This window comes from Homo sapiens, chromosome 8 (assembly GCF_000001405.40).
Source record: "Homo sapiens chromosome 8, GRCh38.p14 Primary Assembly".
NCBI lineage: Eukaryota > Metazoa > Chordata > Mammalia > Primates > Hominidae > Homo > Homo sapiens.
In genome coordinates this window covers 75695195-75715066 of record NC_000008.11, presented here as the reverse complement: position 1 = coordinate 75715066, position 19872 = coordinate 75695195, and the positions used below count along the sequence as shown (strand labels likewise).

The 19872-nt window shown below is 33.6% G+C and overlaps 1 annotated feature.

The window, feature by feature from the left end:
- Positions 19125-19626: an enhancer, noted in NCBI's record as "NANOG hESC enhancer chr8:76607676-76608177 (GRCh37/hg19 assembly coordinates)". NCBI's record gives its function as "activates a minimal SCP1, AML or CMV promoter by ChIP-STARR-seq in primed H9 embryonic stem cells {active_cell/tissue: H9 hESC(primed)}" and the evidence as "EXISTENCE:reporter gene assay evidence [ECO:0000049][PMID:30033119]".

The following is a 19872-nucleotide window of genomic DNA, read 5'->3' as shown; positions in this document are numbered from 1 at the left end:
TTTTAGCTTACAGATGGGGTTTCACTGAGGACTGACCCCTATCTGCCTAGGATTTGTCTGTTTCCTGTCTTTATCAATACTATGTTTTGGAAATAAGTTAGTGAATACTGTGAAGATAACATATCTTACTTCAACAAGTTACATATTATAGCAATCTTAAAAAAATTTTAATGAGATTTTTTGAGGGAGTAAATTTCATGAATATCTCTGGAAAAAAAAACAAGTCAAAATAGTTATGAAATTTGGGAAAAGGGAGATAAATGAGAGGAGAAGTGCTCTCTCATATATCCAACTGTATTAGGAAAATTATGTATGAACACTGTGTTACTGACTTTGATGGCTTTGTTGTGTGACAACTTGGCTGGGATAAACCACATTCCTCAAATTCCCTTTCTAGTATGCTTCCAAACATTATCATGACAGTAAGTGGAAAAAAGAAGAACATGGAAGAAAAATAAGGTGATTGATAGGTATATGAAAGTGTTCTCATGTCTAAATAACAACAAAAGTGCATATTAAAGCAAAGAATGTATTTTTACACAATTGACAAAGAATTAATACAAGGGTAATAGTTGTATTGATAAAGATGACATTAAAAAGAGCATATTCTGAGCTTTTGGTGAAATTACAAGTTGCTAAAATTTTCTGAAAAGTATGTTGGCAGTATGCATCAAGGTTTTAGTAACATTCACACCACTGATGCAGAAATTTTAGCTCTTGTAACCCAATCAAAACAAATAATCAGATAAGATTTACATATAAGAATTTTCATGCCAAATGTATTTTTAACAGTAAAATGTTGGAATCATATATTCTAGACTATTGCAATAGTTACATAAATGATGATATATTCATGTAATCTAGGCATTAAAAGTGAGGATTAACAAATTTAATGCCATGGATAAATGCACATAAAAACAACACTACCAAAACCATTTTCTTAGCGTAATCTCACAATTATAAAAATAAAAATAGCATAAAGAAGTAAATTGAAATCAGTTTCCTCGAGAATAAAATTTGAAATGTGTACGCATGCATTGTAAAATACCATTTACATTAAAAAATAATAATTTCAAAATGAAGTTAGTATCTCTGCTAGTAGGAAAAGAGATTTTTATACTCATTTTAATGTTTCTCTTTTAATTTAATAATATTTTATTGGATGTTACATATTAATAAGAAGATTTATTACCAATATTCTAAAACTATCTTTTTATCTACTTAAAAACTATCTTTTTATGTTGCTTTTATCTGAGTGATAAAATATTAGAACATATTCAAAGCAGACAAGAAAATTTGATAAATGACTTTGGGCATTTTTCAGACTTAAGAGAATAGTGATAAAGTAAATTTAGAAGATGGGGCAAAGGGATATATACTATTACTGAGTCAAAGATAGCAGTAGTTTCTAAGAAAATGCAAGGAAAAACTTGACAAACATTTAAGTCATCTGTTTCAAAATATGTTAAAAATAGCATCATGTCTCAAGTGTTTATTATGAATATGGTAGATTTCTAACTAAGGAGAGATATATTTGTCAAATATCCACGACTTTCTAGCCTCCTAAAGCAGAAAACTGGACATTCATGTGAAGTGAGATACAATATTTGGCACTCTTTTTTATTGTGTATTTATTTTAATAATAACTTTAAGGGTCAGATCAAGTCCTTACATACCTTCATATCTACTCAATGTCTTACATGATGCTCAATAAATATTGAGAGTCTAGGATATAATTCAAAATATATTTTACATATTTATTAATGTAAAATAAGTGAAAGAGGGTGTTTTAAGCTCTTAATTTCTGTTTTCACAAATAAATAGAGGGAAATTACTCTGAAGCAGTTCATTCTTTCTAATTTTTTAATTTTTTGCTGCAGTATGACTACTTGCAATTGTACCAAATACTAGAGATGGTTTCTCAGCACTTCCTGTCTAACAATGTAACGCAATCTAAGGGTAAATGTAGCCTCAGAAAAATAAAAAGATAATTTAATTAATGATATTTGAATAGATAACCCTAATTTTTAGTTTCCTTGTTTTTCTTTGAAAACCTAATGTGAGTCTAAAAGCTAATTTTATGTAATATATACATAAAATCCAGGATCTTTGAACTTACAAATGTCAGTAAAGGTAATATTACATATTTATTTTACAAACAAATTATCTGTTTCCTCAATAAAGGAGTATTACTAGGACTGTCTTCAATATTTTAAGCCACCCAAGCTTGTGAATGTCATCATGCTTAGTAATATTAAAAACGCATTTAATGGAAAATGTATATTGTATATCTTTGGGATTAGGTTTCCAAATTCTTCTACATTTCTATATACTCTATATTCTAGCAGGTTTTACTGTTATTGTTGAGATTTACTTCCTGGTTACCAAAGAGTTTATAAATCCAATTATTTTCATCATCAAGTTCTAAAACTGTCACTCCTTTGAAATCTACCTCCAAGATGATCCTATCATTTTGAAGCCAGCATACTAAATAAGCCCATACTCAGAAGTGTCAAGAATGGGAGAAATGAAAAAACACATATTTTATGTATTCAAATATATGTACACATTTTATATCACCTGCAGGGAGTTTTCCATTACAATCTGATCAAAGATCACTCAATAGAGCAACACCAATCCCTAGAGAACTTCCACTGTTGCCTTTGAAATAGAATGTTTGTTTTAAGCAGTAACGAAAAGTAGAACTAGGTAAAAAGAAAAAAAAATTAGAAACCAAACAAACTCCTTTTAAATATAAAATGCAAAGAAATTCAAGAAATGTATATATTTAATGAAAAATGAATTTGCCAAATGAATATATTTTTCTCAATTTGACTTGAATTTAGTAAGTCATGGAACTCCACCGAGAGAAATGTAGCATACCTCTCTCACTTACTTGTAAAAATATTTTCAGTTGTTAAGTTTGTTTAATTATTTATCCTTTTTATTGTCCAATCACACATATGCTCAATGCATTACAATAAATTTAAGGAGTAGGGATCAATATATAGTTGTGAAACTTGTTTTTGTGATTTACCTTTTTATTTAGCTTCTAATGTATGTTCTGCTATCAGGTTAAAAGTTCTAGTTCCAATATTTATCCAGATAATAGATGCAAGAGGGGAAACAACAGCCTAATACTTTTCATGTAGCATAGCAATGTAACCTTTTGTCAAAGACTGAGAGTTACACACACACACACACACACACACACACACACACACTTCGGCATTTTTTTTTCTCTGACAGACTCAGCAAGACCAATTATATTATCTAAGAACTAACCAAGGAGGTGTATAGTTTAGAAGAGTCAAGAAAAACAGGTAAAATATAGCAAATATGTAAAACAAAAGAAAAGCCACTAAAATGCAAATTTCTGCCTAAGTATTATATGTTATATGCTAGAGAACACAGATAATCATTTGACCAAGTAGGAAGGAAAACAAGAAAATGAAAAAAGTGGAAAGAAGAGAAAGTTTGTAAATGAAAAAAGTTTCAAATGCTGAGTTTCTAAAGAACTGAGAAAAAAAATTAGAAACAGTGATTACTAAAGAGGATAAAATTTCTTATAAACCATGACATTTTGCATTGTAATTTCTAGGGCATATTTGTAATAATTCTGACATTTTTATTCCAGTCATTAATTCAATTTTAAGGCATTTCAGCATTTTTTTTGAAACACAAAATTATATAATTCTGCAACTATTTACTACTTAAAATGGAATTACTTTAAATAAGAAAGGCATTTTTCTTTTTGTATTTGGCTAATCTCATTTAGCATAATGCTCTCCAAGTTCGTTCATGTTGTTGCAAATAACAGGATTCTCTTCTTTTTAAAGGCTGATTAGTATTCAATTGTGTATATATACCACATTTTCTTTATTTATGCATCCATTCATAGACACTTAAGTTGAATTCGTATCTTGACTGTTTTGAATAATGCTGCAATGAACATGGAAGTGCAGATGTATCTTCGACATGCAGATTTCAATTCCAATGGCTATGTACGTAGAAATGGAATTGCTAGATTTTATGGCAGGTCTATTTTCAGTTTTTTGAGGAACTTCCATACTGTTTTCCATAGTGTTTATACTAATTTACATTACTACCAACAGTTTAAAACTGACATCTGGCCGGGCGCGGTGGCTCACGCCTGTAATCCCAGCACTTTGGGGAGGCAAGGCGGGCGGATCACGAGGTTAGGAGATCGAGACCATCCTGGCTAACACGGTGAAACCCTGTCTCTACTAAAAATACAGAAAATTGGCCGGGAATGGTGGTGGGCACCTGTAGTCCCAGCTGCTGGGGAGGCTGAGGCAGGAGAATGGCGTGAACCCAGGGGGCAGAGCTTGCAGTGAGCCGAGATAGCGCCACTGCACTCCAGCCTGGGCGAGAGAGCAAAACTCTGTCCCAAGAAAAAAAAAAAACTGACATCTGCAGAGCAATCTTAAATACTGTTTCTTTTATTTTTCATGAAAATCCGTAGGAATAGACTGAAAAAGAAGAAATCTCACTGTCAGACAACCATGTACCAGAATGTTGGAAATTTCCATCTGCCTTGTAGTGAAATGGGGATTCCTTCATTCAATGGAAAAAAAATCTGTTAAAATTCTACCTCATGCAACATCCATAAAATAGATTAGGTCATAAAGTTGGAAATGGTCTTTCACCTTCCTTTCTGTCTGAAGACCCAGGTACCTAGCAGCCTATGTCTGTAACAGAAACTGGAATATTTTACCTTAATGCTGCAGGTACAAATCTGTGAATTAACCAGAGTTATGTTTCCATATGCTCTGGTTACCTGTTTTGACACTTAGGAAAAGCATTTTCCTAAAAAAGAATTAAGCATGTAGAACAGGCAGCCATTGTAAGGGCATGGTGAGTTCAGGGGTGTATATATCCCTAGGGTGGACTCCATACACAGAATTCCCTGAAAGCAGGGTATGCTGTGAATTGAAGTTCACAGTGAACTTCAGAAGTTACAATGAGCAAAAAAAATCAGACTGTTAGGGCAGGAGAGAAAGTTATCACAAGAAGGCAAAGGAGTGCTAAATGAAATCCATTCAAATAAGAAAACTGTATAGGACATGTGAAAATTAAACTGTCTTTAAAGAGTAGACCTGAAAATAATATGTGACCTAAATCCAATTAAACCAGATTCTGAGGAAAATTTTGTGACCTGGCAAGTTATTTTTCATATATTTTATTTTCTTAAAAAAATTATATACCAAAATCTCCTGAGATTCAAAATACAACTTGTACACCTTTATACCTTTACTTAAATAAAAGTCTAATATTATAGTAAGATAGCTTAATAAGGTGTGTGTTTTCAAATAAATATGTAAAATCAGTAGCTTTTCTTTATGCCAGCAATAACTAATTTGAACATATAATAAAACAGAAACTCCATTCAGGATAGCAACAAAAATGTGACATTTTTAGGAATAAACTTAACAGGAGATATACAGAATTTACATAAAAAAGAATTAGAGGGCATTACAGAGGATATAAAAGAAGAACTGAATAAATAGAAAGACAAGTTACATCATTGAATAGGTATATTTCTTATTGTAAAGATATCATTTATCAATATTAATACATATTTAATGCGAGCATTTAAAATATTATTTCTTTACTTAACAATTTACTTTGAAATTTTTATTCTTAGGTGCTACTTATTAATTTGCATAAAGATGCAGATGCAAATACGCTTATTGTGATGTTTTTGGTGGTGAGGGGGACAGGATCTTGCTCTGTAAGCCAGGCTGAAGCACAGCAGTATGATCACAGCTCACTGAAGCCTTGACTTCCTGGGCTCAAGTGATTCTCCCACCTCTGCCTCCCATGTAGCTGGAACTACAAGCATGCACTGCCCACCTGACTGATATTTTTTTTTTTGTAAAGATGGGGGTCTTGGTTTGCTGCCCAGGTTGGTCTCGAACTCCTGCCTCTGTCTCCCAAAGGTCTGGGATTACTTGTGTGAGCCACCATGCTCAGTCCACCTATTGTGAATCTTATAATAGTGAAATTATCAAAAATAAATTAAATATCTATTAATAAGAAATTGGTTAATATATGACAAATCTCTATAGTATTTTGCAGCCATTAAAATGAATATAACAACACAAAAAGAAATGGATAATAATTTCTTATGTTTGAACATTATGGTCTGACTTAGCATGTTCTACCATTCTGTATTAAAAAGGGGAGGGGACTGGGTGATGAAAACATTACTTTTTAAGCCAAAGAAGTGTTATTCAGACACTGTTACTAAAGACATCGTTTCCCTTGTAGAGAATAAAAATCACTAGAATAGGCTCTCAAGTTATAAAAATGGTAAGCAAATAACCAACGATTATCTTTGGGGTGAATAATAAAGTCCTTATTAACTTGAATACAGAAATTCAGATGAGATGTAAGTTTGTCCTGCTTCTTAACATATTCAACATGCTTCTTTCCTAGGCTTGACCTTAAGTCAAGCACATCAGGAGAGATGGTCAAACTAACCTTGGCAGCTCACACTGGAGAAAGATTCTGAATGCATTATTGTCTCTAGACCAGGCAACCAGTGTCCTTGCTGGTGGCCCCATGCCATAAAGGGCCCCTCTTTCACCTTCCTTCAACAATCACTCTCAGTGCAGCAGCATAATATGGTACAAAGGGGCCAAAAGGGCAGCAAATGTTGGTTCTGGCATAAACTGGTTGTATGACCACAAATTGGTTACTTTATATTACTTAGCTTCAGTTCCTGTATTTTTAAATTAATGTGTTAAAATTCCTCTGAGTTTAAAAATAATGTATCTTTTAACATAAAAAATACTCTTAACATACATTTTGACATAACTACTAGTATTTCCTTCAATAGCTGGTGTCAAGGGTGGAGGTGATAATTACAGCTTCCTTACATCTTACGTTTCCCTTAACCTCTGCCAACACCTTGATTCATATGTGTTTTTTTACCTGGTAGAGAGACTCAAATATTTATTTCCAAAGAATCTAGATCTTCAGTCATTCATTCATTATTGAGGTGGCACATTTTATGTTAATGTTAATAAGAAAATAATCATGTTTCATTATACTGGCCAACTTAGTAACCCTGTTCTCTACTGATTTATAGGCATGAGGAACCACAAATGGACAGAAAACAGCCTCAAACACCAGTTTAGTGGCACTATGGCTGTGTTCCTTCATGGAAACTTCCTCCTTTGGAAACAAAGGCCTCTGTTGCTACCAGTTCCAATTCCACTCCCACCTCCATTCCTTAATTTCCAGCCTTGTGGAGTATGGCTATGGTGGAAATGGCACCACCATTGGTTTCTGGTATGAAGCATATACCACATCCTGTGGGAAAACCCCACTTCACATGTACTATTTAAAACTCTGCCCCCAGGAAGATTTACCTTCATAACTATCTTTCAGGGTTACCCTGGGGTGGAGCTATTGGGCAACATGGAGAATAGACATCAGATTCTGACTAGTGCCAATGTTTCATGCAGACACATCTGTAAACCAGGCCTTCAAATGTTCCTTTTTTGCTACCTTGTCATAAAAATTGTCCAAATGTCAAAAAAGAAGTCAGACAATGAAGTAATGAAGCAATAAGGGAAAGTATCATGAATGTCTGAGTCAACTGCTTGTGTAACTTACATGTGTCTTCTGGAGAGATGTGGACCCCGTCCCTCACATGCCATTCCAATTTAGTAGTGCTGCATGCCAACTTAATAATTCATTGGAATAGAAAACATCAAGATTTTGATAGGCAACTTAGATTTTATATTCATTTGCCCTATGGTCATACGTTCAGTCTTTAACAGGGACCATTAGCCAGGAGCTGCTTATCCATTTTGTGATAAAACCTTAAATAACCATTGTACAAACAGAAAATTGTTACTGACAGAGGATGACAAGGCTTTGCTCCAAAATATGGATCTTCCCAATGTTTCTCCTATTGGAGTTATCAGAGTCTCTATGAAGCATCCCTCTATGCAAAAGACACTTGAAGTATCATCGGTCCTAAGCCCCAAGTCTCACACAGCCTAGAGCCTACACAACAGCCTGGATTTAAAGAGCTCTCTCTTTTTTCTGTGTCTCACTTCAAAATGGAAGCTTCGTAAGTTACTCGAAACAAGGGTCAGAACAGTATACCTAAGTGTAGTACATATTGCTTCCAAAGTTAAAATTCTCACCAAGCATTGTGTCTTACTCTTTGTGGTGAGCAGCATAAACTGCATCAACTGCCTTTACCTTTGGAAAGTCTATTCCAACAAGCCCCAGAAAAGTGAATCCCGTTTTAGGGACATGGCAGGATCTTGCACATTCAGCTGGCTTACTATCCCACTCTCCAGCATGCTGATACATTTCTAAGTAACTAGTATACTTATTAGTTCTTGCTTCTCAAGTCCAATTAGCATATTGTCATAAAAGAAAGGGACCACTATGAAGTTTTGTGGAATATCAAGAGGTTCAAGGTTCCTACCAATTATATTATGACAAAAAGAAGAGTTGATATAAATAATTTAAAATAGGATAATACAATAGTATCCCACCAACCATGTTCTTCTGATTGTCCTTATTAAAGTTAATGGTAATCTGCAATCATTGCCAATATTCATCTGGATTTTGCACTGACCAAAAGGAGAGTTAAGTGGACATGTGATAGGTATCATCATGTTTGGCATCTTTGGTTTTTAATGGTGGTATTATTCTCAATGATTTTCTCAAGAAATTACTTTTGGTTTACTATTATATAGCGTAGAAGGAGAGGAAAGCAAACAGGTAGTAGGAGAAAAAGGGTAGGATTTAAAGGAGCTTCCAGGTTAGTCCTTTCTCCCATAACCACCCTCATTTCCTGAGTCAGGGGACCATTGTGGAGATGTTACCAGTTGCCAATTATGTCTATTCCATTTGTACGTTCAGGAACTAGGGAATTAATCAAAAGATGGCTCTACAGACCTACTAAACTCTAGTAAGAAAAAAAATTGCCAAGGTTCTAAATTGCCAGACTTCATGCTGTCTAGCAAATCACAGTGGCTTTTTTAAGTCAATCAGACAGCTTTGTTAATTCAGACCCATGATTTAACATTACAACCCTCACACCCAAAAGGAATGATTAACCTGTTCTCATACTATACCAAATAATTAATATTTTGTTGGTTCATTCTTATTTTTAAATGTTTTCCAATAAACATTACTTTTAAGTACAATTTATATAATGATATAATTAACAGTTATTTTAATAGTCTGTCTTCCAAATAGGCTTTTTAATTTTTTTGCAAGTTTTAATTCTTCTTACTCTTCGCAACAGCCTACTAAAATTAACTTGCAAATGTACATGGGAAGTTTTTAAATATTCAAAACATAACAAACAGCAACAGATTCACTAAAACAATATTTTAAACACTTGCAGGACTAATATTTGCCATAATTTTAGGATGATAAATTTTAAATAATGTAATAGAATTGTAATGAATGTTTGAAGTATTGTGTTGAAAACAATTCTGGAGACATATTGGGCTTCAACTAGAAACACTCCTCTGATTACTTAGTTGGACCTCGTCTCTGATTTTTTTTTAAATGATATCTATCAAGAACATTGGTAACAGTGCTATTTCCGATATTCACATATTTGACAACTTGATCTTAATGAGTCTACTGGGAGAACTTTCCATTTTGTGATAAAACCTTAAATAATTATTGTACATGCTGTTCTGTCTAGAACTAGAAGAGGATTTTGTTGTTGTTGTTGCTGTTAATTAGAAATATTTTTATACTAAAATGCACCAGAATACATCAAATAATCTGAAGACATAAAAATCAGAGTTTGATTTTTTCTTTCTTCTTTTTTCTCTCGTCTTCCTTGACTGTATGCAGTTTAAGTAGCATCCATGCAATGCTGAAAGTTTAGAAAAATATGACACAAGTTTCTTGTCATACTAGCAATGATCTGACATAGACCAATGCAGAGGGCTTGAATTGAGCACTTTTTCCCTTTTGGGTCAATGATCACAATTTACATTCTGTGGTGCCTTGAAAATGTTATGTTTAGTAATATAAATGAAATGCTAGTTAGTTAGGCTGTCAAAACCTTTTCTACTAGCCAATGATCTAGTTTCTCCTATTGTCTCATGAAAAATGGAGACTTATTTTGCATTTACAAATCCCAAAATGAATTTAGTCCTATCTGACTGTCTCAAACATGTGTCTTTAAATTAAATAACTTGCTAAATATATTGACATCAGGTGCCATCTGGGTTGTATTTGTGTCTACAGATTAGAAGTCTTTTGATATGAATGTTTCAGAAATAGTTTATTGAGATCATATTTTAATTTTTTTTCTATTTTCTATGTCTGTACATGATATTTTACATCATTTATTTAGAATATATTGTGTATCTTTGTACCAATTAATATTTAACTTGAGTAGATCAGAGGTGATATTATTCAGTATAAGAATCTACAAGAATTAACAACCTGCCTTTTATCACAATCTTATCAAGGGCACTTAACAAAATGTTTTCTCCCATCAGATAGCTAAGGGTTATTTTCAGGTAGAATTTATCAAATGATAATTACATAAGACCCACCAGAAAGGTTCACACTACTATTTCACAAAAATCCATAACTAAAAACAATTCTATTTAGATAATATTTTGACACCAAAACCTCCTTTTTTTGTTTTGATGATTTAATAACGTTTAGCATATCATTTATAACAAGGAAATTCTGGGACCGTTATTTGATAAGGAAATGATCTCTCAGATAAAAATCACCTAACTGTCGAATCTAACATTTACAAATAATTCCTTGAGATATAGTAAAACAATTTTTGGAAACTATTTTTACTATTCTAAGGCCACTCTTTATATTTTTGAGGAATGGACATTTGTCTGTCTTTTTGCACACGTATTCTTTGATACTCTTTTATATATTTAAGTAAAATTTGTATTTTACTTAAATTTATAAAATTCCCCCACATGATGAAAAAAAACTTTACTTCACATCATGTTCTTAAATTATATGTTTTATTGCCTCATATTGTAGACAATTGTTTAAAGGGAATGAGGGAGCAGAGAAACACTGATTGTAAGTCAGTTATGGAAGTAACAGGCCTATTTCCACAAGGCAATTTCTCATCCTCCACTGTGATACAAACCTCTCTTTCCATAACTCTTCTTAACCATTCCTCTTCCTGGGAACTACATACTATTTACTTTATTTATATCTCATCTTGTTTAGTAGACACTAATATCTATAAAGGCAGGAAAAGTTATTTTATTCATCTTTGTGTCTTTTGAAATGCTTATTTCAGTACTGGACACATAATAACCAGTAGATAAATATTTACTCATGAAGTAACAAATAAATGAATCAAAGTGAGATAAAGCTCATGCCTTATCAAAAATGCTGATTCTAATGGATCCCAATCATGACTGTCATAGATCAAAGTAACGTACTGGCTAAAATTCTAAGTCCTCCCAATTCACTCCCCTTCTGGAAAAAAAAAAAAAAAAAAAAAAAAACTACTAGATTTATGGGTGTTAGGGAAGTTTTAAAAACATTATGTTTCAGTATCATGCATGAGTTTATTTGCAAATATACTGTCTAGTGCTATTTGACCTTCTTAATTGGGAGGAAAACATCATTGATTATACCATTCCCTTTTCAAAAATAGTTCAACGCTAAAGAATCTCTCTTGCCATTTACAGAAACTTTATTATATTTTTCAGTGTATCAGTAAAACTGCACATTCTCATATTCTGCAGCTAGCAGTAGGTTCACAAACTTTTGAGAAAGTGTCAATATAGTAGACTAAAAATAAGAAGAGTAAATAAAAGTCAAGTGTTTGAGTTTTTTAAAAACTGCAAAACACATGCCCAAGCGATTTATTTAGATCTTCTTATAAGTTATGTAAAATTTTTAGAATACCATTTTTATTATGCTTCAAAAGTATTCAAATAATTATATAAACTATTGGTATACTATATTATTTACATTTATTCTTTGAAAGATGGGTAGAATTTTATCTGTTTCTTCAGATACTTTAGATAATTTTCATATAGCTTTTAGTGTATGAATGTAAAGTCTAGATTACACTACCGCAACTATAGATAACTTCCCAAAGTATTGCATATTATTGTAAATGAGTCAGGCTTAATGTATGATGAACTACTGCAACTATAGATAACTTCCCAAAGTATTGCATATTATTGTAAATGAGTCAGGCTTAATGTATGATGAACATTTTGGCAGACTCTGGGGTTGACTATGCCAAATCAATGTTTTTCTCTCTGGAGTCTGAAGAGCCTGGATTTGGTTTAGGAAGACACTCCATTCCTAGAATCATATATCCCTAGGGAATGTCCTCATCCTAAACCTGTGTTAATCATGATTGGATTCTAAGTTAATTGTGATTATTCCATTCACCTTACCAGAGAATAGTGATGTTGTAAGAATTTGATGAAATCTTGCTCAATGAGTCAGGAAGAAAATCACTCTAGAGTGATTCTGGGAAAGGTTTTCTTGTTCTTAAAAAGAGGTGCACAGGCAGAAATCATTCTTTTCTTCTGATGAAGATCTTTGTGTCTATATGTAAATATTAGCACTGTATCACAAGCATTAAGACAAAACTGATACAGTGAATAGGCAAAGTTAAAAGATAAAAATAAATAAATAAATAAATAAATAAATAAATAATAAGTAAATAAAGCCATGTATGGTTGAATCAACGAGTCAATTAACCCTGAAATTACTCCAATTTTTCTTATAATTTATGAGATTTTTGTTGCAGTTTTTCTTCAATTGCAAAAATTGCCATCCCAATTTTTTTTCAAATTTTATTTTCTCTAATTTTTTTTATCTACTAAAAATATGATATCTGGGGGTTGGGTTTAGTATGAAAAGAAAAGATAAATTTCCTAAATTTATTTTGACTGTAGACTATCAGTCTTATTATCATTTTTTATCACCAGTTTCCTCTTTGACATTGTGATGAATGTAAATTTTAATATATTCACTTAAAATTTTTAAAATTACATTTTTAAAAGTTTGAGGTGTTCCATAAAACTATAAAATTGGTTTGTCTTACTCTTGTGCACAAAGAACATCATTTGATGATTTTTTCAGCTATCTTTGCAATAAATTTTTAGGTAATCATTACTCAAAATGTTCTGACATACTATATTGTTGGAGTTTCTCCATTTTTATTACAAAATCTTCTGGGTCTGTGAAAAATTTAACTTTTTAAAATGTAATAAATGTACACCCAACTTAAACCCCACTTTATGAAAACTAGATATGCTGCTTGACATTCATAGTATCTGGTTTTACAAGTTTCACATTTAAAATGTGAAAACACACATAATTACCAAAATTACATTTAGCATATTCTATATAATGTATATGTTTTACTTTAAAGGGACAGGTGTATGTAACTTTAATGTCACCCTCAGAATCACCAAAAAGTACCCTGGCAATCAGTGGAAAGGTTTAATAGGTTTTCTGTCTTGTTCTTAATTTGCTGAAATTACAAAATCAATACTTTCAGTTGTAGCTGCAGTTACCCGTTTTACTGCTTTAAGATAAAGTCTACAAGAAAGTAACCTTCACTTTCAATTTGTAGCTCAGAACATCAGGTTGTTCTTGGCCACTACTTAAGTAGCTTGTTCGCTGCCATCCTGTATAAGATATTCCAAATGTGTTGTGGTTCCATTTCCAAGGAGATACATACTAAAAGGAACTGTAATTAATATAGAACACAAAGGAATTCCAAGTTTTATACTTTCCCCTTTCCCTTTTCTCTTTACAACATACTGATGTCTCTTTATTTCTTTAGCTTAAACTCATCGAATAATTGCTGTAATTCACAACTCTGGATCTTACACTGGCATCAAATCACTCACAAATCATCAAACACTCTCCACCCAAATAAGAAATAGTTTCATACTCTCTGAACTGTCCTACCTCTAGAATATCTGTAGCAAGGGCACATTCCTGCCACTTTTGAGATAAGGAAATTCTCCCCAGCTACAGTCAGGTTAACTCAAAGTAGACAACTAAATACGTTTCTAAGATTTTAGTTTGAAAACATGATAAATCAGTCACTTTAAAATGTCAAAGGAACTGAAAGTGACAAAAGGATTTTGAATATTAAAGCTATAAATGTTTTCTCATTGTAATAAGTGTCAATAAACATGGGCAAAATTGCTACTGAAACAGGTTTTAGAAGGTATGTCACCTAGTCCTCCATGTACACACTGTTGTTTCATATAAAACCCACATTCCATGTACTTGAAGAAGGGTGAGAATTTGAAATGACCTTTTTTCAGTCCCAAAATCCAGAAGAGTACTATTCCAGTCTATGCAGTGGAAAAGAAACAAATTCCAGATACAGGTTGAGTATCCCAAATTTGGAAACCTGAAATCCAAAATACTCCAAACTCCAAAACTTTTTGAGTGCTTAAATGACACTTAAAAGAACATGACCATGGGAGCATTTCAGATTTCTGATTTTAAGGTTAGGGGCATTCAACTGGTAAGTATATAATCAAAATATCCAAAATCCTAAAAAATTTGAATTCTCAATCACTTCTGGCCCCAAACTTTCTCATAAGTTATACTTGACCTGTAGTGGTGAATATCCTTTCACTTTTGTTTTTATGGTACCTCATGTGTTTTACTCTCAACATCCTGGCTGCAAACACCTAAGGTTTTGCTGCTTGATCATCTCAAGACCACTATGTTTGAGTTACAGTAGTAGCAATCACATTCTATTTTAATCTATCTGTTTACATCCCTATCTGTTCTGATAGACTATAGCTTTTTGAGGGAACTAATTTCTTATTCATCTAGTACAGACCTTATTCAATACAAGGTACTCAGTATACTCTCTAGAATGAATAAAATGAAAAAAAGGAAATTTGAATTTAAATTGAAGGCATGACAAACTTCTGGCAAACTTAACATATGAGAGGTAATAACAATTTTAAGTTTGCCACTTCTAAGATTCACAGGATTCTATGTAAGAAGGGGAAAAGAAAGCTCTGTCATAGAATACATAATACAGGCAAATCACTTCTACCATATTGTAATAGTTTGGACAATGTTTCTCAACCTACGGTTTGTGAGCAATTAGTAGGTCATGAAAATGATTAAGTCAGCACTGAAGAGCATTATTTGTCTTAATAAAATGGATTGAAACGGAATAAAACAGGATAGAAATGAATAGAATAATAATTAGAGTATATGTAGTCAAAATAATTATTTTATAAAAAACTTGTAATTAACTATATATTTGTGTATATACTGTGTTGCAATTTAAAATGCTTTTTTTTTTTTTTTTGAGACGGAGTGTCACTCTGTCTCCCAGACTGGAGTGCAAGTGGCACGATCTCAGCTCACTGCAAGCTCCACCTCCCGGGTTCATGCCATTCTCCTGCCTCAGCCTCCCTAGTAGCTGGGACTACAGGGGCCCGCCACCATACCCGGCTAATTTTTTGTATTTTTAGTAGAGATGGGGTTTCACCGTGTTAGCCAGGATAGTCTTGATCTCCTGACCTCATGATCAGCCTGCCTCGGCCTCCCAAAGTGCTGGGATTACAGGCGTGAGCCACCACACCCAGCCTTAAATTGTATTTTTAACTGAGAGTATTGGTCAAAAAACCTTGAAAAAACACAGTTGGAATATGAGTCTGGCTACTCCACCAGACTCTAAAACTAATTTTGGTTTAGACAAAATTTATCATTTAGATGATTTCTCTCTCATCTAGAGATCCTGATATAAATCGACTAGGCTGGCATCTCCATGGGATCAGTGCCTGTGCTCCTCCTGCCTTGTTGTCCTAGAAGAGTCCCCTCATCCATGTGATCCAAGAAGGCTTACTTCCATGTCCCACATTTTAATAATTGAAAGAGAAGAAAAAGCCAGCCTCGGCAGCATAGTGAAACCCTATCTCTAAAAATAAATAAATAAATAAATAAATTTAATTTGCCAGGTGTGTCGGCACACACCTGTGGTCCCAACTACTCAGGCAGGTGAGGTAGGAGGATCACTTGAGCCTGGAAGTTCGAGGCTGCAGTTAATCATGATGACGCCACTGGACTCCAGCCTGGGCAACAGAACAAGACACTTTCTCAAGTAAAAAGCTGCAAATAAAAGGGCGTGACTCAGAAATTGTCCATAGCTCTTTGCCCATGTCAAATGCTATGTACTTAGTTCCAGGAGAGATTGAAAAATATTATCTGCTTTCTGAATAGCCATTATACAAGGCTAAAAACCTAAGGTTCAATTACTATCTAAGAAGGAGAGAATGAAAGGTGTGGACAAATTGCAGTCCTGGCACATATTTAATAAACTTGAAAGAAGGACCTAATACACATCAGATTTCACTATAATGCAACCGGCTTCATCAGCCTTGAAATACAAGTCTAGGCTTCCTCTTCTCTTTTAATCTCCTGATAAATTTTTATGAAGAATATCATATATTGGTAAGCAGCCTCCAAAATGAGCCTCAGTGGTCCCCACCTTGTGATATTTACACTCTTGTGTATTCTCCTCCCATTGAGTGAAGGCTGGACGTGGAATCACGACTCATTTATGGCCAATAAAGAATGGCAGAAGTGATGCTATATCACTTCTAAGATTAGGTAAGAACAAAAGCACAGAAGCTTCTGGTTTGGTTGTTCTTTTGCTCGCTCTCTAGGTCTCTCATCATTCATTCTTAGAAATCCCCGCCATGAACAGCACCAATGGAGAGGCTTCATGGTGAGTAACTGATGCTTCCTGCCAACAGCTGTATGAGTAAGCTTAGAAACAGATTCCCCAGCCCCAGCCAAGTCTCCAGAGACTGCAACCTCATGAGACACTCTGAGCCAGAGCCACTAGCTAAGCTGCACCCACATTCCTAACTCTCACATATTGAGATAACATTTTCAAATTTTCCAGAGATTTCACAAAATGAATCCTAGTTTTGCAAAGGAAAACCAGAGACCACAATCAAAAACAATAACAAAATAAGTTGAGGACCCACAACTCTAAGGAGCTGAAAATACTCTTCTTTGGAAAATACAAAACTTGATTATGTAAAACATATAGATTAATTTACTTTCTAAATACGAATTCTGACTACACGTGGATACAAACCAATATTTATCCTATACATGCGTGGGTGTGTTTTAATCAAACCTTTAGACCTCAAATAATTCAACAGGGGTATACACACCTGTTATTATCTTCACTTTGGAGGAGGGAGTATAAAAAGGCCTGTACTAGGTTGGATAACACTGCACTCAGCACTATTGCTGTCTTATAAATTACATTATTTTAACTACAAAGCTAGATATACAGAGTATACTGATTTTGGATTATTATATGCTTTTGAGTCAGTAGAATATAACCACACATTTCTTCTCTAAAAAACAATATTTCCTTTGAAATAATCAGATATTATCTGTGGATAATTGTCTATTGTTACTTGGACTCTATTCTCTCTTCTTTTTATATATTTTCTAATACCACAAGGACTAGAGAGCCAAGGACTGTATCAAGACTTCCTTAAACTATGATTCTACCAAATACATGCATACATACCTATTTGTAAGGCACAGTAAGGCGAAAGCCATTGTATTAGTTTTTAACTTCTGCGTAACAAATTACTACAAATTGAGTAGCTTAACACAACACAAATGTATTATCTCATAGTTTCTGTGAGTACTGTTTAGCTAGGTTCTCTGTTCAGCATCTCAGCATGCTGAAATCCTGCTAACTACATACAACGCCCATAGATAAGAATGACACACACATATATGTATAGACAATTGAGGAAAATATGTCTTATAAAATAGTAGTACTGAATAAACACACAAAATACTTGATTCCAGAAAAAAAGAGATTACTCAGGAAACAAAGATGAATTGTAATCCATGTCCTCAGAGAAATTCAATAAAATTTTTTTTATAAAACAATAATGATGAACTGCTATGTAAAAGGACCAAATAGAGGACAAAACTTAGGCTTTGAAAAAGAAAAATAAGACTGTCAAAATTATGAAAATAAAAAACCCAAATATATGGGCTTAATAATACAATGCTATCTGACTAAGAACCAAGTTACTAATTTTCAAGATAAAGTCGAAGAAATTCCCATAATGTAGAAAAATAAAAAGAAACAGAGATAAAAAATATTTTAGAATGTAAAGGAACATATACTACACATACTGCATATACGTACACTTTATTTGTACTTTCCTATCTAAATTCATGCCTTGTGTCATAGTTTTTTTGTGGCATACTTCTTAACTTCCTATTGTAAAATAAATGAATCATAGACAAGACTATATCTCTTTTTTAACTATTTACCTATTTAAATTTTATGAAGTGCTAGATAAAAGTATGGCTTTGTGAGGTATCAATGATTGACAAAGAAGAGCTATAAGAAAAAAAGTGCTTTAAATTTGAGAGTGTTGACACACATGGGCTAGATTATTCTGCCAAAAATTTATAGCTGTTTAGATGTGACAAAACTCAATGTGTCCTCGAGATATATAAGACCAGAGTCTCTAAACACACAGTCCAGGCAAACCATAAAGTTTTGATGGGCAACTTTAAAGACTGGAAGTAGTTGTATGGACTGACAACATTTGTTTGGGACTTGGCGAAGACAGCACTAAAAATACACTTAGAATACAGCTTGGTTTGTTGTGCTACAAAACCCAGAAGAAAAGCAAGTAGCAACGGCAAAAATTTTTTATTGCATTTGAAGCAAATACTGACTAAGTCATCCAATCCTGATAAGATTAAAGTCACTTATTTAGACTTGGGTTTAAAAAAAGTCAAATCATTTGTCTACAAAATAAACAAGTGGCAACCAACTCAATGAAATGACCATCATTCCAGTTTGTTGAGATCGGTCCGTTCGTGTTTTTAGCACACAACTCGGCAGATTCAGAACCCCAAATCTATATTTAATTCAAATATCTTATCATTGCCCCAAGACTTTTCAACAACCTCACTGATATTTAAATAAATAGGGCAAAAGTTACTATGTACCAGAAGTACTTCAATGTTTCAAAAGAAATAATAATTCCAGGAATGTTTTTTGTTTAATTCATGGAAAATAATTTTTAAAAAACACACCCCTTCCTTCCATCTTAAAAGAGTAAGTAGAAGTGTGCATTTCAGTTTAATTTATATTTAGGAAAATACACAATAAAATTAACAAACATGAATGAAAAATAGACTTAAACAATGGAATATAAATTTTCAACCTGAATCAAAATGACTACTTATTTTTAAAATGATTGTTTTATCTATTGTTCATTTCTTGGTCCATTTATGGTCACGGTGCACAGGGATTACCAGCATCCTGGTAGAAAAGAGAATCCAAATCAGACAATCAAAGAGACTTTAAAGAAGGACCTATTAACAGAGATGTGGTTGAGTGTAGGAGAACAAAGAAGAGCTGTTAAGCCAGCCTAGACCTGAAAAAGCAAGGGGAGGAAAGAGTTACTGGAGCCCCATGGGAATGGGAGGCATGGAGGACAGGCTACTTAGGAGGCGCTGCAGCCCTGCAGTCACGGAGGGAGAGTCAATACCAGAATCTGCAGCCCAGGCAGGAGGGGGCAGAGGAAAAGTACTCGGCCTCTCCCTAGACCCTCTCCCGCTCTCATCTCTTGCTGGTACCTCCTGTTAGCTGAAAATAACCACAATCCAGGAGGTAATAAAAACTGGTGATGTAAAAAAGGTGTCATACTCCCAGGGAACAACACACACTAGGGAAGAGTGAAGACAGAACTTAGAGGTCCAAGAAGGGGAGACAGAATCACCAGCACAATATCACTTCTGTTTTTTTTTGCTTGTTTGTTTGAGACTAAGTCTAGC